Here is a 25,527-nt window from a genome sequence, read left to right as displayed (position 1 = left end):
GGGATGCTGTGCTGTGGACTTTCTGGAGTCTGGTGACTCATAACCATCGTATCCTTACACCCATGAAAAGGTGAATTGAGAGGAGGGGACTGACTCCTCTAGGGCCTTTTTTTTTTTTTTTTTTTTTTTGAGAGGGAGGTTTGCTCTTGTTGCCCAGACTAGACTGCAATGGTGCCATCTTGGCTCACTGCAACCTCCACCTCCCGGGTTCAAGCGATTCTCCCGCCTCAGCCTCCTGAGTATCTGGGATTGTAGGCGCCCGCCACCCCGCCCGGCTAATTTTTTGTATTTTTAAGAGAGACGGGGTTTCACCCTGTTGGCCAGACTAGAGGTGATCCACCCGCCTCGGCTTCCCAAAGTGCTGGGATTACAGGCGTGAGCCACCGTGCCTGGCCTAGGGCCTTAATTTGAATTCAGAAGCTTTTTGGTTGTTTGTTTGTTTTTGTTTTTGTTTTTGAGACAGAGTCTCGCCATGTAGCCCAGGCTGGAGTGCAATGGTGCGATCTCGGCTCACTGCATCCTCTGCCTCCCGGGTTCAAGCGATTCTCCTGCCTCAGCCTCCCAAGTAGCTGGGACTATAGGCGTATGCCACCACGCCCGGCTAATTTTTCGCATTTTTGGTAGAGACGGGGTTTCACCGTGTTAGCCAAGATGGTCTCAATCTCCTGACCTCATGATCCACCCGCCTCGGCCTCCCAAAGTGCTGGGACCACAGGCGTGAGCCACCGCGCCCGGCCCTGAATTCAGAAGCTTTTAAACCAGGGAAGCTCCTGTATTTACTGGACATGGATCTCATTTCATTGCACCTGTGCTGCTGATAGAACACTCACTATTGGTGAGGAACATTAGCTCTGCAAGAGAGCAAGCTTGGGTTCCCTCCAGGATCTTCCTGAGAAAACTGGAGTCAAGAGTGATTTGGGGGCCGGGCGCGGTGGCTCACGCCTGTAATCCCAGCACTTTGGGAGGCCGAGGCGGGCGGATCACGAGGTCAGGAGATCGAGACCATCCCAGCTAAAACGGTGAAACCCCGTCTCTACTAAAAATACAAAAAATTAGCCGGGCGTAGTGGCGGGCGCCTGTAGTCCCAGCTACTTGGGAGGCTGAGGCGGGAGAATGGCGTGAACCCGGGAGGCGGAGCTTGCAGTGAGCCGAGATCCCGCCACTGCACTCCAGCCTGGGCGACAGAGCGAGACTCCGTCTCAAAAAAAAAAAAAAAAAAAAAAAAAAAAAAAAAAGAGTGATTTGGGGTAGAATTATAGGTTGGCTACCCCTTGGAGGATACTTTAGTGGGAGAAATACTAGTGCCTAGGAGAACATGCAACAATTTTTAAATGCATTTTTGAATCAAGGATTCTGTGGTAAGCTGAAAAAAAAAAATGCCATACATATTTCTATTGCCATAATTTCAAAAGTATCTATAATCTTTAGTTTGAAAAAGTACATTAAAATGCTAAGGAATTTATTCTAGCTGTGGTATACTGAGCATCTTATTATTATACAGCGGTTATATAAAAAGTTTGACTTTGAATTTTTTTTGCCTTCAATATTTCTTCTAGATATAAAATTTTATAATTTTAATGTTTATGTGTATGATATTATAATTATTAATATCGAATGTGTCCACTAACATTTTTTACCAACTAGAAAAATCAACAAATTCTCAACTTTCCATGCAAAAACATTTTCCTCAAATGTCAGCGACGAAAACTAGTTTAAACAAAAGCAGGCTTTAATTGCTTTGGGAAGAGGTGATTTCTTATGAACTAAGAGGAAGTTTTCGAGAGTACATATATTTATTATACATTAAACAATATATATGTTTAGGTAATGTATACATACTATGTATAGATGTAAATATTTGCAAATGCTGGCATATAGCATCTCATTCATTAATTTTAAAATGTACTCCGTTCATATTTCTCGACTTCTTTCAACAGAGCTAAAGAGATACTCTCTGGTTGATCTCAGACCCTATGGAGGCATATCATGTGATTAAGAAGGTAACTGGATCTCTAAATGCGTAGAGTTTTGTTGATGAAAATCTTGTAATTGCACCCAGAAATGTGCTGGAAAGCAGCACTGGCTGGAATAAATCAGAGTAATCAATACCATGTGAGAAATTCTTCTTAGCTATCTCTTACCAGAATAGACTCTATACCAAGACTGATATAGGTAGTAAAATCAAATGATCCAAATTTTACTCCATCTAGCAAATGTTTAATTAAATAGAAATTTGAACAAAGGTGAAGGGACTCACAAGAGATTAGAAAATCCACTGGCTTTGAATAATTGAGTTTACTAAACTGTTCAAGATGTAATCCAGGCATTTAACTAACAAAACAGTTAGGATCTGAAGAAATTCATGTCCCCAGAAATTATAGCATAGTTTTCTTCTCATAGAGGGCCTGTTACTTTAAAAAAAAAAAAAAAGTCTCAGAGCTTAGCCAAGACATGGGAAGAGAAAATTCCCTCTTTCCCAGTCCTACTTCTGTCAACATTACTTAGAACATGTGTTTGATTTAAAAATCCTACAAAGCATCAGGAAATAGAAAGTGAAAAAAACAAAGGAGAAAAGGAAACATGGGGAAAAAAGGAAGTTGTGGTTATTAGGGTGTGAGACCCCATACAAAGAGGTTTTCTTCTGCCAACGCCCAGTGCCTTTCTTCAGTCTTCCTTTCCACAGCATTTCTTAAGGAGGCAGCTACAAAGAAACTCAGGATTTGTGAGCATCTTGAATAGATCAGAGGAAATTCAGATGAATTGAGAGGAAAAAGTGGCCTCAGTTATTTGAAGTTCAGGGCCTAAAGGAAAGCCATGTCAGGCATTCATGAAACAAGAGCATGACCAAAAAAAAAAAAAAAAAAAAAAAAAAAAAAAAAAAAAAGGGAGAGGGGAAGAAAAATGATAAGAAAGAGGAAGAGCCAGAAAAGACGTGAGGAAAGAAGGGGAGACAAGGAGGTTAGGAAAAAAGGAGTCAGAGGGGGAAGGGAAGGAAAAGCTGGTGAAACTGATGAAGAAAACAGAAAAGAATTGTGGACAGAATGAAAGAAGGAAAGAACTAAGCAAAGAGAAGTTTAAGAGAAGGAAGAGAAAGAAGAGGAAAAAGAGCCAGAGACAATGCATAGTTTAAATAGTAAACTATTAAACATATGGCAAGACCTTCATCACCAGATGGTTGCAGGACACTTCTTGGAATGGAAATGTGTTCCATTACAGTTAAGGACTCAGCAACGACTACTGTTTCATCAAAGAATTGTGTTTGACAAAACCATGAATCAGAGATCCATTGTGATATTTTTTGAAAAAAAAATTTATACAAATTCATTAATGCTTTAAAAAACTGGAATTCTGCTGAATTTTTTCCAGTACCCACATGCTTTCCTTAGCAGGAGCGCAGTCTCAGTAAAACCGACACAGGAGAGCACCTGTAACCACAGTCTTTTTATAACGAACCCATTATTCTTCTTCACAGTGAAATTGAACACATGGCCACTGGTCATATATGTGCTAAGTTTTCAGCTTTGTCGCATATATCTTCCTACATGCAGTCATTAGTCTCAATGGATATAAGATCATTGACATCTTTTTGATTGAAGTGTCCAGGACATGTGTGGAGGAAAAGTTAAATATTAAATTTGAACTCGATTGAACATGGACAAAAACGATGGTCACCAAGTCCTGGAACAGGTTGCGTAAGTACCTTGAGGCATTCATCCAGCACTGTTTCAGAGAAATCTGTTCCTGTACGTTAGTTATTGAAAAATAACAGACAATCGCAAAAACAAGTTGACCTTTTTGTGTTCCTTGAGCCCAGTGGTGAAGGGCCTTTGAGACTGGGCCTCATGCCAAACAACTCGTTACAAAAGGAGCTAGGGTTCCAGACCACGCCAAAGCTTCTTGAGACCTCACCTCATCTGTGCACGGATGGGTGGCTGACTCTGGAGCCCAGGCTGTTGCTTCCCAGTATGGTGATGAATCCTCCATAGTCTAGTGAGTGTAAATATAAATATATATATCTATATATATATCTATATCTATCTATCTATCTATATATATATATATCTTTTCCCTTCTCCCCTTTCTATTGCAATTTGCTTATTATATCATTTGCTTATTATATCTGTATTGCCACATACTTAGGATAAAGGTTGTTTACCCTTAAAGGTATTGTGTGTGTGTCTTTTCTTCTCCCCCACGTGTCTTCCGCACAGAACATGTTATCCCAAATGCAGTAATCTCAGCCTCTGAGTGCTTGGAGTTTTTCCCCCAAGAGACAAAGAAAGATACATCCACAAACAGGAAAACTCACAAAACCAAAGACCACAAGTTGAGCTCCATGGAAGAGACAATTAAGACCACATTCCCACCACTTTTGAGCTCCTCTAATTTGGTTCCCAAGAACAGCTTGGTGGAAATACAGGGGTCTGGTTCTCCACCAGTGAGCCAGGGTGCTGTCTTCTAGACAAGCGTGCACATGGCGTATGGGAGGAGGGAAGCTTGTGTATAAGCAACACTGTGGAGAAATTTCATTCATCAGCTTCACAAAACAGCTCTTCAAAATGGCCAATTTTGTGATGTATTATCACAATTCAGCATGTGAAGAGGCTTCACCATCCGAAATGTACACATTAGTTGGGAGATAATTATGAGTTCAGACCCCTCTTCAGTCAATCACTCTGCAACCCTCATCCAAGCCATTTTCTAAAGCAATTGAAAATTACCAGTTAAGAATGCTCAGGAATGTTTGTCATAAGATGCTTCCATATGCAGATCTGCATTGAAGATTTGAGAATACATGTCATGTCAAAGCCCCATCGTGTCAAGGGTCCATTGCTTTAAAATAGTTCTTACATAGGAATTTAGAATTCAATAGACTATATTAGCTTCAAGGAAGTAGTCAAAGGAGGGTGATTAAATATACATACTTTCAAAACTAGCTGTTTATATGGTCAAAAGCAGTACTATAGTCGATTCTTTAAATATGAATTTCTTAAAATGTGAGGAGGTGCACATGTTAATAGTTTCTTGTGTTGCTGCCAAATAAATTAGGATATCAGAAATGTGGAAAGGTTCTCACTGAGAAATAATCACTCGGTTAATTTCGGTTCTTAGAGAACAGAGGGCAGATTTTTTGTGATGGTTGCCCAGATGGCAGGTCGGGGAAAAGAGAGAGCTACTGAAGAGTGTGTGGGGCTTGCCACCCTTGTAGGCCTCCCATCCATTCAGGTCTGCTCCATGCCAAATAGAACAGTGACTGCAACACCAGCCATGCGTGACTCTCTTCTCTCCCTTGTCCTCCTTCCACCTGGCCCTGGAGTGACCTGACAAATGGGTTACTTGTAGCCCCCACTACCCCCAACAAATTATGCCACCAGCTGGCAGAAGAGCTGAGCCCGCAGCAGGTAGGCACAGCCATGGAGCTTGGCCAGCCATTGGCCCTTCACTTGATGTCTTTCCTTCCGTTTCCTCTCCTCGCTTCTCACTCCTGTCCTGGACATTCCTAGCCAAATGCAACTGAAATACGAGGCTGATAGTAATAGTAAAGCCTCCAGAACTTTCTACCTTTTAAAGGCATCTCTAATGTTTTCTGGAGTGTGATCAAGCTCTACAATGATGTATCTCCCCCACTAAATTACAGTCTTTGAGGGTGGAGATCTTGCTGATGAATTTCAACAGTGATTTGTGCATTGTCGTCAGCGTGCACTATGCCTTTGCTCATCCTATTTTCCCAAGCTGGTCCTATAGAAACCTCCCCATGCCCCTACATTTTCTTATTTAGCCAAACCACTGCATCTCATTGGCAAATCCTTTGCAGGCTGTGGACATCTCTTCTTATTGACATTTTTGGAGTTGACTCTGATAGGGTCTGCCAAGTATTGTGGGGACTTTTTTTCTACCATCTTTGTCTTAGCTTTATGATTGGATTCTCAGCTACTGGAGAAAGGCTTATGGGCACAACAGGAAGAGGAGTGATTCCTGCCATTTTTCCAAATAGAAGGAAAAAGAGCCTGATTCCAGAGCACTTAAGTAACAAAAGGCACTTTCTAGCAACTCAACTCCCATAGGCAAGAAGTCTAGCATAATGGGTAATGTGACATGAGTTCAGCACCTTGGCTCTTTTATTTATCAGTTGTATGGTCTTGGGCAAATTATATGATTCTAAAATGTCAGTTTCTTTATTTCTAAAATAGGAAAAATAATACCATTTACCTAATAGGGCTTTAGTAATTTTTTTATTTGCATTAAATTCTTAGAATAACATCTGGAACAAAACAAATTCTCAACATATTTTAAATATTATCTTCATTGTTTATTTTATTATCATATCAGTATCATACCTATGACCCCATGGCCTCTAGCACTGCTTGGTATTTCTTGTAGTTGCTCAAAAAATATTTGCTGTTTCTTAGTTTCTTTGATTATTAAGTTACTATTTTTGTTTAATGTTTGAAAACACATATTTCCAATGTGAATATTAAAACAATACAAAAATATGTACTAAACATCAAGTCTTCTACCCTAACTTCCAAAACTTCCCACTAAAGCAATCACCCTTACCAGTTATTTATGTGTCTTCCAAAAATATGTTACATGTATGTTAGTATAAGTGTGTCCATGTACATTCCTTTACACAAAGTATTGCTGAAACCCTCTTCATGCTCCTGCCCAAGCCCACACTTCTGTCGTCCCACTAGAAGTAATAAATTCTGCTATGTTGAATTTTATATTTATTTCCTTAGTTTATCTTTTTCAGTAGTTTTTCCCTACCTAACTTTAAACAATATATTTTTAGTTAAACTTATATTTGAATATAGAAAAAATGCTATCATTCACCTCTTTGTTGTGATTAATAAAAATCTCATACACATTTTTAGCTTTTTGCTTTCTTTTTTAACAATATTGATTTACAAAAAGTATTTGAGTCAATTGATCACGAAAACTCTCATAATTGTGAATTGATGATATGAGATTATTTTCTAAAAACAATTATGCCACAAATATTATTATTTTCACATATCTTCTAAAATTTCTCCCTATCCTTCAGAACCCAATAGCTAAGTATTGATATACTTCAAAATTATAAAATGGTGCATAGAAATAAGAGCTGGAATTGAAGCTTACTTTCTCATTAGCAGAATGGGGCATGAAAAAGTGTTGGAACTCATTATCTCATCACATCTAGTAGAACTCCAAACACATGTATTATTTAGGATAATAATAACTTTCACACAAATATTAATGATGTCACATGATCCTAGGATTAAATCAAGTTTTGTTTCTAATTTATCTAGTCTTTCACATTATTCTTAAAAATAGGAATAATGTTGATTATATGTGTGTGTGTGTATATATATACATATATAGATAGATAGATATACAAAAATACACACAAATTGTTTTATTATGTTAGACCCTAATACATTGGCTGTTAAAAAATAACTTTGACACTTTCTGTGCAAAACCAATTAGATCAGCAGCATCATCATAGTTCCAAGAGCATAAATTTTAAAGTCGTGGCACTCATGATTCAACATTGAAACAAAGAGCTTCTACGTAAAGGTGCTAGTTATGAATCCTCATGTGATTGAATATAACAGTGGAATGGTAAGTAAGCCATAAGTGCCTTAAAGTGAGCATCTGGGCCCCTTTGAAAAATTTAGCTCTGATTCCTAAATGCCTTTGTAGCTGGGGAAAAGCTGGAGGCCATGACTGAATCAACTCTACAAACATGTATTTTTATGGTTTGCATGCATTCATTTTACCAAGTCGTTTTATATCCAGTATTAAATTTGCTTCTCATTTCTCTGGGAAAAAATCTCATTAGTCATCTGGATAAATACAACTAAATGAATAAAATGAGATTTATGTTGATATAGAAGTAAATCTAAGAGAACAGTCTAGTCTCAGTTTGTTTGTTCGTTTGAGTGTTTTGTTTCTTCCCTCTCATCTCCCCTTCCCTCCTTTGACCCCCTCCCCTCCCCTTTTCTTGCTTCCTCCCTTCCTCCATTCCTTCCTTCCTGCCTTCCTTCCTTCCTTCCTTTTCTCCTTCATTCCTTCCTTTCTTTCTTCCTCTTACATTTGTTAAAAAGCTGCTACATGCCTGGTATTGTACTATGTTCCAGGGCAACAAATAGGTCACAGTCATTTGAACTGAAAGTGACAAAATCTCAAATAAATGTGGGTTGTGTTGAGTGTGATTACAGTAAGAGGGTGGGTCTGGTGGAGAGGAAGGTGAGTCAGAGATGTGTCGCACCATAGGAAGGCTAGAATTGCATCTGCTCACATGCTAGGTCCTTCTGTTGGTTCTATTTTTTTAATAACACGTCTTAAGAAATACTAAGAGTCAAATTATACTGACAGAAATTTCTTTCATGATGAACAAAACAGCTTTGTATTTTGTATAAAACCTATAAAAATGGTAGTTAGAGTAAATATAAGCATTGACTCACTTGCAACTAGAGGGAGTATCAGTATCTCCCATATATACAACATGACTTTAAACAATGTCAATTTCTCTCATCTTTCTATGGTGATATCCCGTGGTACTTAAGACTTAGTGGAATTACACAGGCCAAGGAAGGTCATATGATACTGACATTGCTGGTAAACACAAACTCTCCTTCTTTCAGAGTGACTGGATAGAGGCAAAGAAAAACAAAATCATTTTACAAGAACAAAGTACAAAGCAAGTAACAATAGGATAGAAACATCACCTGTGTTTAATAGGCTGGTCTTATTTTTGGGCTACCTTCTAAGCATATTCAGTAATAGCCAAACTCAAAAACATCCTGCTAAATGAAAAAAGCCAATCACAAAGACCATATATTCTATTATTCTACATCTATGAAATGTCCTAGGCAAATCTACAGGGACACAGACAATGCATGAGTGAGTGGTTATATGGGGCTTGGGAGTGGGGAGCAAGAATGAGGACCTCTGATTTTGAGTAGGGGGTTTTGTTAAGAAGTGACGAAAATGTTTTTCAAATATATTGTGACTAGTGTTGAACATGACCGTGAATATACTAAAAGCCACTGATGTGTACACTTTAAATGGGTGAGATTCATAGTATATAAATTATATTACAATAAAGCAAAAAATGAAAATATTGAGTGACTCTAGGATTAGGATATTCTCCAGCCCCCGAATGGCTAACACATTTTCCCAAGAGTGCAGGTAAAGAATCACTCCTCCTGAGAGGCTGGCCTCAGGGGCCTCCCAAGCAGGAACAGCCAGGAGCCTCTCACCAGCCAAAATCACTGAAAAGGCCAAGCCACAGAAGAGATGGTTACAAGCAACCTGACCAGTTACCTAATGAATGAACCAGCAGGAGACTGGAGAGAATATTTTCCAGTTGTTTAATTTTAATATCCGTGCTCCATCAACAGGAAGGTCTTCTCCAGCTCAGTAGCTTCATTGCTACCTTGGTGTCCCTGGACTTCTCGGTCTACATCAGGGAGTCTCTTCCTTCATGGCAGTGTTGGGGGAATACAGGGAGTCATCTTCAGCTCCTCTTAGAGGAGGGTGGTTGTCTTTTGCACTGACTCTAAAGTTCTTTTTTCAGCCCTAACTTACCTTTCTTTTTTCTCTTTTCTTTTTTTTTTTTGAGATGGAGTTTCACTCTTGTTGCCCAGGCTGGAGTGTAGTGGCATGATCTCAGCTCACTTCAACCTCCGCCTCCCAGGTTCAAGCAATTCTCCTACTGCAGCCTCCCCAGTAGCTGGGATTACAGACACTTGCCACCACACCAGGCTAATTTGTATTTTTAGTAGAGACAAGGTTTCTTCATGTTGTCCAGGCTGGTCTCGAACTCCTGACCTCATGGGATCTGCCTGCCGCAGCATCCCAAAGTGCTGGGATTACAGGCATGAGCCACCATGCCCAGCTCCCACCTCACCTTTTTGGGTTTCTTTTTTTCAGATACCATGGCAGAGCTCACGTTTCCCTTACATCCATTTGGGCAAAGCCCTTCTTTGATTGATTTTCATCCTCTCCTGTCCTCATGCTCTATTGCCATTTTCCCCTCTTAGCAAACACTTACATGTGGATCTTGTGTGTCACTTTATCTGCATGTGCTCTTTCAAAATGGGTGAATGTATTTTAAAATATTCAGAGTATTTACTATAAATCCATTAATGTTATAATTATTTCAGTCTCTTGTCTATTTAGTTTCATAAAATTATGTTTGAATATCACCTACCAAGTGATTTGAACATTTATTTAAAGCAATTATGTAAAATCAATCATGCTACTATACCATAAGATCCTTGAGGGAGAGCATAAGTGCCTTCTAAATGGTCCTGGAATGTTGAAAGAAAGAAAGAATGAAAGATAAACTAAAGGAAGGAGGGAAGGAGAAAAGAAAGAAAATCCCTGAGCTCCTGCGTACCTGACCTCTTGAATCACTGCCCTCTACGAACTCTGCCACTGTTTTGCTTCTCTTCATATTATGGCCATTCTTACTTGTGTGATATCTCCCTTCCGACCTAAGCATTCAAGCATGTTGTTACATAACAGCAAATGTTTCCCATCACAGCCTATCTTTATTGATACAGTCAGCACTCACAGTATTCAAAAACAGATTGGTCATGCATAAGCCAAGTGTTTGCTGATAGCTCATTAATCCCAGATGCTCAAACTGTTAGGCATTCGACTTGACACTGCCTCCCACAGACTTTGTACCAAGGCACATTTTGGGTAAACACCAAGCAGTTCAGAGGAGCTATGGTGAAGTCATTACCAAGGTTATTTGGTATGTTGGAAGCTGACAATACAAATGACAGCATCCATGGTTCTGCCTAGTTCTGAGGCTTTGCCAAACGGTAACATTCATAGGCTACTGGCTAGGTTTTGCCAGCTCCATACTGAAGGAGGTGTTCCAACTGGAAGCCATGAATTTAATTATCCCAGTCTTGCTTAAAAGAGTCAGATACTAAAAGTACCTGACATAAGAAGCTAGAATCGCAATTTCAGAGGAAGATGTAGCACGAGTTTGTTTTGTGTGCATCAGATTTAGCCCCTCTTCGTTCAAGTTCAAATTCATGTTTCACATCCCGGTGGACCCTACCCTGATTCACGAGCGCACAGTGATCTTTCTCTCACATGATGTTCACCTCTACTCAATTCCAGTAGGTCTAAGTTTCATTATCATCATTTGGTACTTAGGTGGTGTTGTTACTCTGATGTGATATGACACTTCAATATTTGTAAAATTCTGACTTATATTTTGATATATCTGACTTATATTTCTACAGAAAACTTATTGAAATGGAGATATTTCTGGGCAGAATATTTTTAAGGATGCACTCAGAAAAATCATCATAAGGGGAGTTAGGGAAGCAGGTGTGAGAGAAGGAGTCATTAAACTGCAATGCAGGCTGGGAGTGGTGGCTCACACCTGTAATGGGAGGCCAAGGTGGGAGAATCACTTAAGGTCAGGAGTTTGAGACCAGCCTAGCCAACATGGTGAAATCCTGTCTATACTAAAAATACAAAAATTAGCCAGGCATGTTGGTGCATGCCTGTAGTGCCAGCCACTTGGGAGGCTGAGGCACAAGAATCACTTGAACCCGGGAGGCAGAGGTTGAAGTGAGCCAAGGGTCCCGCCACTGCACTCCAGCCTGGGCAACAGAACAAGACTGTGAAAGAAAGAAGAAAGAAGGAAAACAAACAAGCAAGCAAGCAAGCAAGCAAGAAACCCTGTAATGCAGCTATAGCCGAGACCTCAATTAACCGTATAGGCAGCTCTGGAACAAGTATGGTCCTGTGATTTGTCCTGAATCAAGGCAAAGGACTGGGCATTTGTACCCCCACGGGATCTATTGGACATAGCTTGATCCTGAGGAGGAGTGATAAACTCGGGGGAGGCAACTCCTTCCAGAAGAAGGCACTTGGTGAACAGGTACCCATTAGTGGTGAGTCCCCAGTCCTTCCAGTAGTCAGGGAAAATGAGTGTCTTCTCCCATGCAGAAGGGAGACCTGCATGGCATACCATAACATCCCACATATTGTAGCATTTTATCAAAGCAATTAAAGGTGGTAGATATTATTATTATTGCAATTTCATAAAGGGGGGACCTAAGACCTACAGAAGCTCACATGTGGTCGTCATTCCACACTTGGATCACACAGCTGTGCAGTGACAGAGGCAGGTCTTGAATCCAGGTTCTAATTTTTTTTAAGTGGAATATAGGTAGTTTCACATACAACTTAGGAAGAAAAAGGACAGGAAGACCACAAAGAGCTCAGGAAAGCTAAATAGATTGGAACTTGTTAAGACACGTTACAATAATACCATACTGTCACATCTAAAATGAATATCAGTCTGACAATGCAGAAAGTATGGGAAAGCAATTTCCTTGTGCATTTCCAGTAAGTCAAGTAGGAAGAGCCACCCCTTCATCTCCTTAATCCAGTCCTGGAGATTCCACAGAAGGGAGGGCATTAGTCAATTAAAGTCCAACCAATTGAATAAAAACCATAAAAAAACTGTATAAAGACGGTATACATGCTGTGACTTCATGTGTGCACAAGAGAAAGAATAATCATCCTGGGTGCCACAGTAGATGAAAGAACAAATTTAACTAGATCCCTTTCTTCTCCTATTTTACCTGTAAAAACCAGAGAACAACTCTGCCCAATCAGTATGTTTAAGCTAGAGAAGAAAGAAGAAAAGAAAGAAGCAAGAGAGAAAGAAAGAAAGAAAGAGTAAGAAAGAAAGCAAGAAAGAGAAAAAAGAAAGAAGGAAAGAAAGGAAGAAAGGAAGGAAGGAAAGAAAGAAAGAAAGAAAGAACAACAGAAGAAAATAAGAGAGAGAAAGAAAGAGGAAGATAAAGAATGAAAGAAGAAAGAATGAGTGAGAGAAAAAAATAGAGAAGAAGAGAAAACTAAAGAAGGAAGAGAGAAATAGAGAGGAAGAAAGAGAAAGAACAAGAGAAGAAAGAAAGAGACGAAAGAAAGAAAGAGAGAAAAAGAAAGAAAAAGAGAAAGAAAAGCTTTTTTGACAGCAAGTGTGGGAACATCTGGTATCCTCTGAGCATACGCTCCTCATCTCCAGTAGCTTCCAGCCCTCAAGTGACTCCTGATTGCAAATAACAAAATCATCTCTAAAGAGCAGCTCCAGAACCCTGGAGCAAGTTTCAGTTCTAAAGGCCCCTGCATTGGGCAGTCACCTGCACTTCTCATGGCGTGGGACAGAAAGGAATCATGCTCGGACCTGGCACGTCCCTCCCTCTGGTCCTACATCTCGGCCAGGGGATCTAAAACTCTCAGGTGAATATAAACTCCCAGGGATAAATAATGAGAAAGTTAAATAAGTAAGTATTACTGAAAAATAGACAACTAATGGAACCCTTTATTCCAGATGTAGCATACCTATGAAAGTAGAGAGATTGGGAATATATAGGATGCATTTGTAAGAGAGAATATTTTATATTTCAAGCAGGAATACATAGTTATAAAGTAAGGAAATGAAGGCAGTATGTATTGAAAATACATTAATATATTAATGGAAGAGTTTATTAACAAGTGTTACAGCAAAGAGCAAATCAATAAGTTATAAAATGTTTCCTAAGACCATAAAGAAAAGAGTTAAAATAACAAAAATAAATTAAAATATAAGAAAAATTGTTAATATATATGCAGGAGAGAACAGAGATGCAAAAAGAAATCTATTTGGGGATGCTCTAGAATGATAGCAAAAACATTAATGGAGAGGAGAAAATAAAATTAAAAGTAATGATCAATATAGTCCAAAAATTAGAGAAAACTGTAAGAACTTATGTTGAGAAAATTCATAGAATAGCAAATAGAATAAATAAGGAAAAAATTTCAGATAGTATCAACATGATGCGGAGAAGGAGAGGCGGAACATACTAAGATATTTGATATTTTTTAAAATTTGCACAGATAGATGACAGGTACTTAAGGAACTCACAGGGGAAATTTATTGTGGCTTTAGTAAGTCAGAAATAACCTTTGAAAAATAAAAACAGTTCATGTGGGCTTTTATAAAAAAGTAGACAATTGGACCTCTCTAATGAAAGATTTAAAAATGTATATATAATGAATATTTCAATAAATATAAAAGTGTATGACATATATTATATAGAACCAGTTGGGGCTTAACTCAGATGTACGACATTGATTCAAAGTTCCAGCATCAATGTACTTTATCACACTAAAAAAGAAAAAATATATATGATCATCTCAATGGATGCAGAAGCATTTGAAAAAAGTTAAAAAAAATTAAAAATTTATTTATTTATGGATGCCCTATAACTAAATGGATGCCCCAGTCAATGCAATAAGGAAGAAAAAAAAAACAGAAAAATTGGATATGAGAAGAAACAGCTATTCTTATTTGATGATGCCATCATCATGTTTGCTGATATTTTAAGAGCCTACAAATGATAATATATAGAACCAAAATTCAGTTTTACCGGTATGCAGGATACCAACCAATAGCAAACTAACCCATCACTTTTCTACCTGTTTGCAATAAACAGTGGCAAAATAAATAGAAAATATAATTTGTAATAGTAAAAGTATATGAAATGTTCAGAAATAATTTAACAAAATGTGTATAAAAACTATAAAGTGAAAATTAAGAACAAAAACAAATAAACCAAAAAAAAAAAAAAAAACGGAAACAAGAAAAATCAAATGAGGACTAAATAATTAGATATACTAAGGTCCTGTTTTGGAAAATTTAATATTGTTAGGATATGAATTATCATAAAATTGATATAGAGATTTAATACACTCAATCAAAATCTCAGCAGTCTTTTTTGAAGCAATTGACAGATTCTAAAATATATATTATAATGCTAATCATCTAGACTCACCAAAAGAGTTTTGAAATAGTAAAACAAATCTGGAGGACTTATTGCCTGATCTGAAAAATACTGTAATCAGGACACCATGACAGAAGCTTAGGGTCATTAACATAGATAGATTAAGCAGAATTAAGAATTCAGAAATAGATACACACATACATAAGTAAGACATTTTCAACAAACATTGAAGTGGGAAAAAATGAGTGCTTTTCAACAAATGATGATGGACGAATTGGATGTATTTATCCAGCACCATTTCCTCATATAATTCATTTCCTCAGTAATTCAAAAATTAACTTGAAATACGTAACAAAATTAAAGAGCAAAATGATAAAAAAACTTCTGCAAGCATACAGACAAGATCATTGTGAATTTAAAGTAAACACACATTTCTTAGGATACAAGAAGCATGAACCATGGGAAGAAATAAATAAAGTTGACAAATTTTAAAAAATTACTTTTGAAAGGCCCTGTTACAAGATTAAAAGTACAGCCAAACATTAAGAGAAAATCTTCACAATACATTTACCTGACAAGGGGATCATATTTAGAATATATAAGAAACTCTTACAGTGAAACAAGAAGGGCTAAAACAGCAAAAATATTTGAATAGACCCTTCATTAAAGGAGATATATGGATGAGAAAAACACATGAAAAAATGTTCAGTATCATTGGTAATTATAAAAACGCAAATTAAAATTACAACAGTATACCATTGCATACCTAATAGAATGGCAAAAGTTAAAATGACTGAAAATACAAAGGGTAGAAGAAAATGTGAAGCAAATTAAATTCTCATGAACAATGTGAATCAAAAAAATCATATAATCAATTTTTGCCGGGCGCAGTGGCTCACGTCTGAAATCCCAGAACTTTGGGAGGCTGAGGCAGGCGGATCACAAGTTTAGGAGTTTGAGACCAGCCTGGCCAACATGGTGAAACCCCGTCTCTACTAAAAAAAAAAAATTAAATTCAAAAATTAGCTGAGCATGGTGCATGCACCTAATCCCAGCTACTCAGGAGGCTGAAGCAGGAGAATTGCTTGAACCCAGGAGGCGGAGGTTGCAGTGAGCCCAGATTGCACCACTGCACTCCAGCCTAGGCATCAGAGGAAGACTCCCTCTCAAAAAAAAAAAAAAAAAAATCATATAACCATTTTAAAAAGTCTTTCAGTTTCCTATAAATACTTACCATATGAGCTCTCCGAAGTCATTATCTACAAGAAAGAAAAAATTATGTCCTCACAAATATCTGTATTGGAATGTTTATAGCAGATTTAACCAAAAACGGAAACAATCTTAATGTCCATCAATGGGTAATCTGATAAACAAATGTGGTATATACATGTATAGATTCCATGACATATATAATGGAATACTACTCATCAATAAAAAGGAACAAAGGGATAATACACATAAAACATGAATTCATCTCAAAATTATTACACTCAACAAAATGAGGACAGGCATGAAGAGTGCGTACTATGTGATTCCATTTATATGAAATTCTACAAAAGATTAAGCCAATTCATAATGACAGTAGATTACTGGATACCTGAAATTGAAGGGGAGAGGATTTGCCTGGAAAAAGTGTATGAAGGAAACTTCTGGAAGGACCAGAATGTAGCTTGATTGTTGCTGTGGTAACAAGATGTGTAAATTTTTCAATAATCACTGAATTAGTTACTTAAAAATGATTCAATTTATGACACATAGTTACATGTCAATAAAATTCATATATCTAAAAGGGGTCAGATAAATACATTCATATCAGTAATGTACTGACATACTTCATTTCATTTCACTTGGCTTTACTGTGCTTCCCAGATATTGGGTTTTTTATAAATTGAAAGATTTTGGTAACACTGCGTGGAACAAGTCTATTGGCATCATTTTTTTCCACCAGAATGTGCTCACTTTGCATCTCTGTACCACATTCGGGTAATCTTCGCAACTTTTTAACCTTTTTCATTATCATTATATCTGTTATGTTATCAGTAATCTTCGATATTACTATTATAATTGTTTTGGGCTATAATAAACCATGCTCATGTAAGATGACAAATTTAGTCGATAAATGTTAAGTGTGTTCTGATTGCTCCACCAAATGGCTGTTTCTTATCTCTCTTCCTATTTTTTGAGAAACAACAATATTGAAATTAAGCCAATTAGTAACCCTACAATGGCCTCTAAGGGTTCAAGTTAAAGAAAGAGTCAAATGTGTATCATTTTCCAAAACTAGAAATGATTAAGCGCAGTGCGCGAGGAAGGCATTTCAAAAGCTGAGACAGGCCGAAATCTAGTCCTCTTGTGCTAAACAGTTAGCCAAGTTAGGAACGCACGAAAAAGCTCCTGATAGAAATTAAAATTGCCACTTCAGTGAATACACAAATGATAACAAAGCAAAAGAGCCTTATTGCTGACAGGGAGAACATTTTAGTAGCCTACATAGACGATCCAACCATACACAACATTCTCCTAAGCCAAACCTCATCCACAGCAAGGCCCTAATTCTTCAATACCATGAAGGCTTCAAGAGACAGGAAAGCTACAGAAGAAAAGCTTGAAGCTAGCAGATGTTGGTTCATGAGGTTTAAGGAGAGAAGCCATCTCCAGAACATAAAACGCAGGTGCGGCAGCAAGAGCTGATGGAGAAGCTGCAGCAAGTTATCTAGAAGATCTCAGTAAGATGGCTGATGAAGGTGGCTACATTCAACAACAAATTTTCTGTATAGGTGAAACAGCCTTTTACTGGAAAACAATGCTATCTATAACTTTCATAGCTACAGAAGAGAAGTTAATGCCTGGCTTTAAAGTTTCAGAGGACTGGCTGACTCTCTTGCTAGGGGACCAGTGCATCTGGTGGCATTAGGTTGAAGCCAATGCACATTTATCACTCCAAAAATCCTAGGGCCCTTAAGAATTATGCTGAATCTACTCCGCTTGTGCTCTATAAATGGAAACAGCACCTATTTACAGCATGATTCACTAAATATTTTTAAGCCTTAGTTGAGGCCTACTGCTCAGAAAAAAAAGTTGTTTAAAATATTATGTTCATTGACCTAGTGACCCAAGAGCTCTGATGGAGATGTGAAAGGAGATAAATGTTGTTTTCATGCCTGCTAACACAGCATGCATTATGCTGCTAAGATCAAATAGTAATTTTGACTTTCAAATCTTCTTATTATTTAAGAAATACCACAGCTATAGCTGCCATAATAGTGATTCCTCTATGGATCTAAGCAAAGTAAATTTGAAAACCCCTGGAAAGCATTCACCATACTATATATTGCTAAGAATATTCATGACTCATAGAAAGACATGAAAATATCAACAATAACGGGAGTTTGGAGGAAGTTGATTTCCACCTTCATGAATTACTTTGAGAGGTTCAAGACTTCCTTGGAGGAAGTAGCTGAAGATGTGGATGAAATAGCAACAGAACTAGAATTAGAAGTGGAGCCTGAAGATGTGACTGAATTGCTTCAATCTCATGATGAAACTTTAACCGATAAGGAGTTAGTTTTTGTAGGTGAGCAAAGGAAGAGGTTTATGGAGATAAAATTTACTCCTCCCGAAGATGTTGTGAACGTTCTTGAAATGACAACAAAGATATTACATCAACTTAGTTGATAAAGCAGCAGCAAGGTTTGAAAAGATTGACTCCAATTTTGAGAGAACTTCTACTGTGAGTAAAATGCTATCAAACAACATTACATGCTACAGAGAAATCTTCTGTGAAAGAAAGACTCAATAGATGTAGTCACCTCAACCTTCGTCACTCACCATGTTGATCAGTCAACAGCCTTCAACCTGAAGCCAAATCCTCTACCAGCAAAATGATTACAACTCACTCACGGCTCAGGTGCTCTGATGACTGCCGGCATTTTAGATCAATAAAGTATTTTTAATTAAATACACGTATACATACGTCTTAGACATAATGCTATTGTACACTTAATAGATTAAAATATGGTGTAGTTTTCATATGCACAGGGAAACCAAACAATTTTGTGTGACTTGTTTTGTTGCAAAATCTGCTTTATTGAAGTGGTCTAGACCCAAACCTGCAGTAGCTCTGAGGTTTGCCTGGATTTTCTATCAAAACTCCCCAGAGACACAGGAAGGTTGAATGTTAAGTCAATGAAAAAAATATACAACAAACTTTAATTTAGAAAAAAAAAGTGTGAACATTTAAAATAGTCTAAGTAGATTTTAATGCAAAGCTACGCAAATAGAACTGTGTATAAAAATAGAAATGATCCAATACAGTTTATCTCTAAAAGAAGACATTTTACCATCAGAAAATTCTATCAATAGATTAATAGATTAATAGAATAAATGACGAAAATTCTAAAAAGATTTTGAGAGGTAGAAGAAAACATTCAATAAAATTCTTTAGAAATATTAAAATCTTTATACGTGATTTTTTAAAACCTCAGTAAACTAGAATGAGAATATATATGAATATATGTAATAAATACAGAATAAAAAATACATAAAATATATACATAAAGAAATACACATGTGATTTTAAATGGATTAAATGTACCTTAAATAAATCATTATACCAAAAATACACCTGCACTTAAATGTTTATCATAGCACTGTTCACAATAGCAAAGTTATGGACCCAAACTAATTGTCCATCAATTCATGATTAGGTTTTAAAATAAGATGTATATATAATGTGTATACACACACACACACATACACACAAACACACACCACGGAATACTAACTTGGCCATAGAAAAGAATGAAATCACTTCCTCTGTAGCAACATGGATGGAATTGGAGGCCAAAAGCGAAATGACTCAGAAACAAAAAGTGAAAATAAACACATGTTCTTACTTATAACTGGGAACTAATAATGGGAACACATGGACATACACAGTGGGATATAGACATTGAAGACTCCAAAGGGTTAGGGGGTGGTGAAAGCTGAAAAATTACCTGTTGGGTATACTGTACGTTATTTGAGTGATGGGTACACCAACAGCCCAGGGTTCACCAATGCGTAATGCATTCATGTAACACAGCTGTGCTTTTATCCCTAAATCTATAAAAACAAACAAAATATTAAAAACTAAATAAAAATGATTAAACTTAAACCTTTATAGGCGGGCACGGTGGCTCATGCCTATAATCCCAGCACTTTGGGAGGCCGAGTTTGGTGGATCACCTAAGGTCAGGAGTTTGAGACCAGCCTGGCCAACATGGTGAAACCCTGTCTCTACTAGAAACACAAAAATTAGCCGGGTGTGGTGGCAGGTGCCTGTAATCCCAGCTACTCAGGAGGCTGAGGCAAGAGAATCACTTGAACCCAGGAGGCGGAGGTTGCAGTGAGCTGAGATTTTGCCTTTGCACTTCAGCCTGGGCAAGAGTGAAACTCCCTCTCAACAAAACAAACAAACAAGCAAACAAACAAACAAAAACTTAAACCTTTGTGTCATTTTTAAAAACTTAGAAGACTAGAGAGGAATGTATTTATACAAATGTGTATATAAAATAAATATAGAATTTTAAATATATAAAAATACATAAAAATAAGCGTACATATACAAATATAGAATATAAATCTTACGATAAATGTTATATACAACGGTGACAGTTTAGATCCATTTCTCTTAAAATATTTACTGCTCAGCATAGCATTGTAGGGCCTAGATATTTTTAAAAATGAAGATAATTTTTTAAAAAAGATTGGTTTAAGCATGCACATGGTTGAATACTACATTTTTGTGTCTCTCTCTCACACACATATTCTTTTTCTGAGCATTTTGTATATTTCTTCTGGCACTTAATGTTGTTTTGGATAACTTTGAAGTCAGTCTAATTTTCTCTTTGTAGATAACTTAATATTTTGCTTTCATGTCTAAAACAGTTTCTAATTCTAAATTCCAAAATTTTTATGATGCATTGCTATAGAATATTTTGAATCAGTTTTCCCTGGGATACAGTGTAACCTTTTAGTATCTAGGTGCGAGCCTCTACGTATTTCAAAATAAAGTTGTTTTTTTTTTTTAACTTTTATTTCAGGTTCAGGAGTACATGTGCAGGTTTGTTAATACAGGTGAACTCCTGTCATGGGGGTTTGATGTGCAAACTCGTCAGCGACTTACTAAGCATAGTACTCGATAGTTGTTTTTTTGAAAGTTTTTAAAGTTATTTTGTTGTTGTTGGGTTCAATTCATTTATTTCTTATTCAGAGACAATACTTATTTACATATGGAATTTTTATCTCCTATAATCATCATTTTAACTCTTTTAAAATAATTTTTAAGCAATACATTGCTCATTTTTCTCAAGACCTCCTAACATGTTCCTTTTCACATTTTCAGCCATGTAGAATTTCTTTTCTTGCTGCTTCCAATCTGGCCTTCACAGAGACAGTTTTATTTTTCTGTCTCACTTTTTTTCTGACTTTTACAAGCACATTTTTCCACCTCCTGTAAAAAATTTTGAGTTCTTTTCTCTTTGATTTTCAGATCCTATTTTATGGAGGTAAACATTTGAGTAAAAGGCTACACGATCTTTATTTGCTCCAAAAAAATTTTTTGTTTTGTTTTGTTTTAGTGGCGTTCATTGCTCTATCATTTTGCTATTGTTCTTTCAGTATACATACAACAATTTCAAAGGAATCAGGGCAAAATTCTCTTCGATTATTGTTTGCTTTTGCATAAAGTGAGTTTTTCCTGGATGAGCAAATTGCAAGAGTGAAATGTTGGAGGAAGGTGGGCAGGTGAGGAAAAACTGTGACGTGGAGATGGAACAGGGTCCACGGAGAGATCCGTGGAGTGCATGTGCAGTATTTCAGCACGAACTAGGTTTATCAGCAACAAGTACCTTTCTCTCAGGAACAGAAACCCATTTAAAAAGTAACGACAAATGACTTTCCCAGACAAATTCATTAGGAACCCCATTGCCAGCACCATAAAAACTCATTTTTTATAAATTTGTAGAAGCCCACTTACCCACAATTGGAATACCTGGTTCTGGAAGGACTAAAATCTAGGCTGACAATTTTAAATCTTTTGGGCTTTAAGTTAGGTCTTTTAAAAATATTGTTAAAAGGCCAGACGCGGTGGCTCACGCCTGTAATCCCAGCACTTTGGGAGGCCGAGGCGGGTGGATCATGAAGTCAGGAGATCGAGACCATCCTGGCTAACACCGTGAAACCCTGTCTCTACTAAAAATACAAAAAATTAGCTGGGCGTAGTGGCGGGCGCCTGTAGTCCCAGCTACTCGGGAGGCTGAGGCAGGAGAATGGCGTGAACCCGGGAGGCGGAGCCTGCAGTGAGCCGAGATCGCGCCACTGCACTCCAGCCTGGGGGACAGAGCGAGACTCCATCTTAAAAAAAATAAAAATAAAAATATTAGATAAATAAATAAATAAATAAATAAATAAATAAAATACTGTTAAAAAAGAAATAAAAGCTTCATAAGAGATAAGACAAATCTGGCTTCCATTAGAGGAGGACTTTAAGAAGGCGTTGTATGTTATCTTAACACAGATTCATATACAGTAATCTTAAACAAGGCTCAGTGAATTCCAATTCAATGCCCTTTCAACTGTGTATTTCAATAAAAAATTATAGCCTCCCAACAGACACCAAATAAACACTTCCATCTAGAAGAAGGAGGCATACTTCAAATGGGAAGAAGGAGGATGTTGTCATGACAACTATGGAGAGTGTTTTATTAGATGGCTGAATTTAATGTTGTCCAGAGCTCCTGGGCTCTGCGGTCTTATTTGAAATTCTGCAAACTTGTATGATGTCTCATATCTTTAAAATCATAAAAAATGTGGCCACTACATATGCAAAGTGTGACCTAGTGAAACATATACCCTTTTACCTTAATCCTGATGTGTGTTTTTAAACAGATAAACATCAGTATACAGAGAGGTCTCTCTAGAATGACACATACTTGTATCACTGTGCTAGATGATTCTGGTCTTTGTAAATCTCTGATCCTATGTTATGTCTCAACAGAGTATGTTTAGTGCTGGAAGGCCTGAGCAGACTGGCCCAGGACTCTGCATTTCCACAAGGAGAAGGGGCGAGGTACAGATGTGGATATAGAATCAGATCAGAATTTTCTTGGCAGTTTCAGGTAACTTATCTCAAAGATTTCTTTATTATCTTTTGTCCAAATTCTTCTCTCATATAGTCAGAGCCCGGCATTAAGTTGGTTTTTTAAGATGTCTCAGAACCACTTGGTCAGAAAGCTTTTTTCCAATGGTTTGGTCAGTTCCGCTTCCTATTTGAATATTGTCCCTCTTGAATATTTTATTATTGCTTTGAAAGAATATTAAATTTAAAAATACCTTACATCTTCCTATTTAATTCTTTCCTATACTTAATTAACTTAAAAAATCCTTTAAATCAGCAAATTTGGATTATCCACAAAGACCTCGTTTAAAGATAATAGGCAGCATCAGGCAGTTGGTATAAACTGTCTCATTTATTTTGCAAACACTTTTTTGAATAATCATGTAGAGCTGTATAATGTATCTCAAGAGGCTAGAACAATGCATGGCACCTGGTAGACTCTCAATACATAGTTTTTTAATGAATGGGTAGGATTCTTACTTTAATTGCTTCTGCTATCTGCGACTGAATTGTAGATTTGAACTCAGGTACTCTAATTTCAGAAGTACTTTGATCCATTTTGCTATATGGTCTTCTGAGGGCTCTTATTTAATTATGATTGCATTTTGTTTTGCAGTAGAGTAAGTTGTCAACTTATTTCTCTGTTCTCCTATGCTGAAAACTCTTAGGGGATAGAGGCAGTAACCTGAAAATATGCTTCTCTTAAAGCATAGAATAAAGTACCTGCCTTCAGTGGTTGGAGCCAGGTATGACAGGGAAAACATGGTTTTAAACTTAGACCAATTTTGAATTTCAGCTAGGTCACTGTCATGGCTTGAACTGTGTCCCCCTTGAATTTGTGTGTTGAAGCCTTAATGCCTTGTACCTCAGAATGTGGCTGTATTTGGACATAGAACTTCTAAGGAGCTGATAAAGTGAAAATGAGTCTGTTAGGGTGGGTCCTAATTCAATCTGACCAAGTCATTATAAAAAGAGAAATTTGGATACACAGAGATACCAGGGTTGTTCACAAACAGAGAAGACACCATGTGTAGATGTAGCAAGACGGTGAGCAACACCTGCTGACATCTCAATCTTGGACTTGCAGCCTCCAGAACTGTGAGAAAACAAATGTCTGTGGTTTAAGCTGCCCAGTCTCAGGTATTTTGTTTTTGCAGCCCTAGCAAACAAATACAATCTCTTACGTTGTGCTCATACACAAATCTTATGAAACTCTTCTGTGCCAGTTTTCACATCTGCAGAATTAGAGATGACAGTACACCATAGAACTAGTTGTGAGGGAGGTCAGGATTTTTAGAGCTGCCATGTAAGAAGCAGGGGGCACGGTGCCTGACACAGAGTATCTGTTCCAGGATGGCACCTTCTGTTATAGTTATTATATTACTGTTATCATGAATAGTGTTGGATTCCACTAGATAAAACAGTTCATGGTATCTGATATGGTTTGACTGTGGCCTCACCCAGATCTCACCTTGAATTGTAATAATCTCCCATGTCAGGGGCAGGGCAGGTGGAGATAATGGAATCATGGGGGTGGTTCCCTCATACTGTTCTCATGGTAGTGAATACGTCTCACAAGATCTGATGGTTTTATAAATGGGAGTTCCCCTGCACACACTCTCTTGCCTGCCTCCATGTAAGACGTGACTTTGCTCCTCATTTGCCTTCCATCATGATTGTGAGGCCTCTCCAGCCATGTGTAACTGTGAGTAATTAAACCTCTCTCCTTTATAAATTACCCAGTCTTGGCCTAGTGCGGTGGCTCGCGCCTGTAATCCCAGAACTTTACGAGGGGTGGGTGGATCACCTGAGGTCAGGAGTTCCAGACCAGCCTGGACAACATGGAGAAACCCCGTCTCTACTAAAAATACAAAAATTAGCCAGGCATGATAATGGACACCTGTAATCCCAGGTACTCGTGAGGTTGAAGCAGGAGAACCACTTGAACCTGGGAGGCAGAGGTTGCAGTGAGCCAAGATCGCACTATTGCACTCCAGCCTGGGTGACAGAGTGAGACTCCATCTCAAAAGAAAAAAAATTAATAAATAAAATTTGAAAAAAACTACCCAGTCTTGAGTATGTCTTTATTAGCAGTGTGAGAACAGACTAACACAGTATCACAAGTATGCAAATCACCCTTCTATATGTTGAGGTGAAGGACACACTGCACACTTTCACTTGTGGGTAGGACCAATGGCTTCTCAGTATTATAGCTGTGGCTTTACCGTATTTGCACTTTCTAGGAAGACATGGCAATTAGGGTCATCTCCAGGATGAGTTTCTGCAACCAGCTCACCTGACAAAATAACAAAACTACAACCATGTGACAGGTGGAAGAACAGCTATTCCTGAACTGGAGATAGAGCGTATTTTTCACCTTTATGTTGGCCTTTTGAGAACTCGTTCTTCAATTTCAATTGACCACCAGTTTGTTTGCCACATCTTTAAACTGGTATTATTTGGTGCCTCAAAAATGGTTGTAATTCCTATTTTGGAGTGTGTTTTCTGTTCCTGCTATGAAATCCAAGGTATTTTGCTACTTGAGTAAAAACTGGACAAGGGGTAGTTTCTTTC

General features: G+C 37.6%; 1 long non-coding RNA gene across 1 annotated transcript; it reads left to right on the top strand.

Moving 5' to 3' along the window:
* LOC105373402 (uncharacterized) lies at positions 1-22,946 on the top strand. The gene is made up of 3 exons (XR_922743.1): positions 1-70; positions 1,938-2,000; positions 22,834-22,946. It is a non-coding gene; the product is annotated as an uncharacterized LOC105373402 (long non-coding RNA).
* The last annotated feature ends 2,581 nt before the right edge of the window (positions 22,947-25,527 follow it).

Source organism: Homo sapiens, chromosome 2 (assembly GCF_000001405.40).
Source record: "Homo sapiens chromosome 2, GRCh38.p14 Primary Assembly".
NCBI lineage: Eukaryota > Metazoa > Chordata > Mammalia > Primates > Hominidae > Homo > Homo sapiens.
The sequence above is the reverse complement of the archived record's forward strand: the minus strand, read 5'-3'. Positions and strand labels throughout refer to the sequence as shown.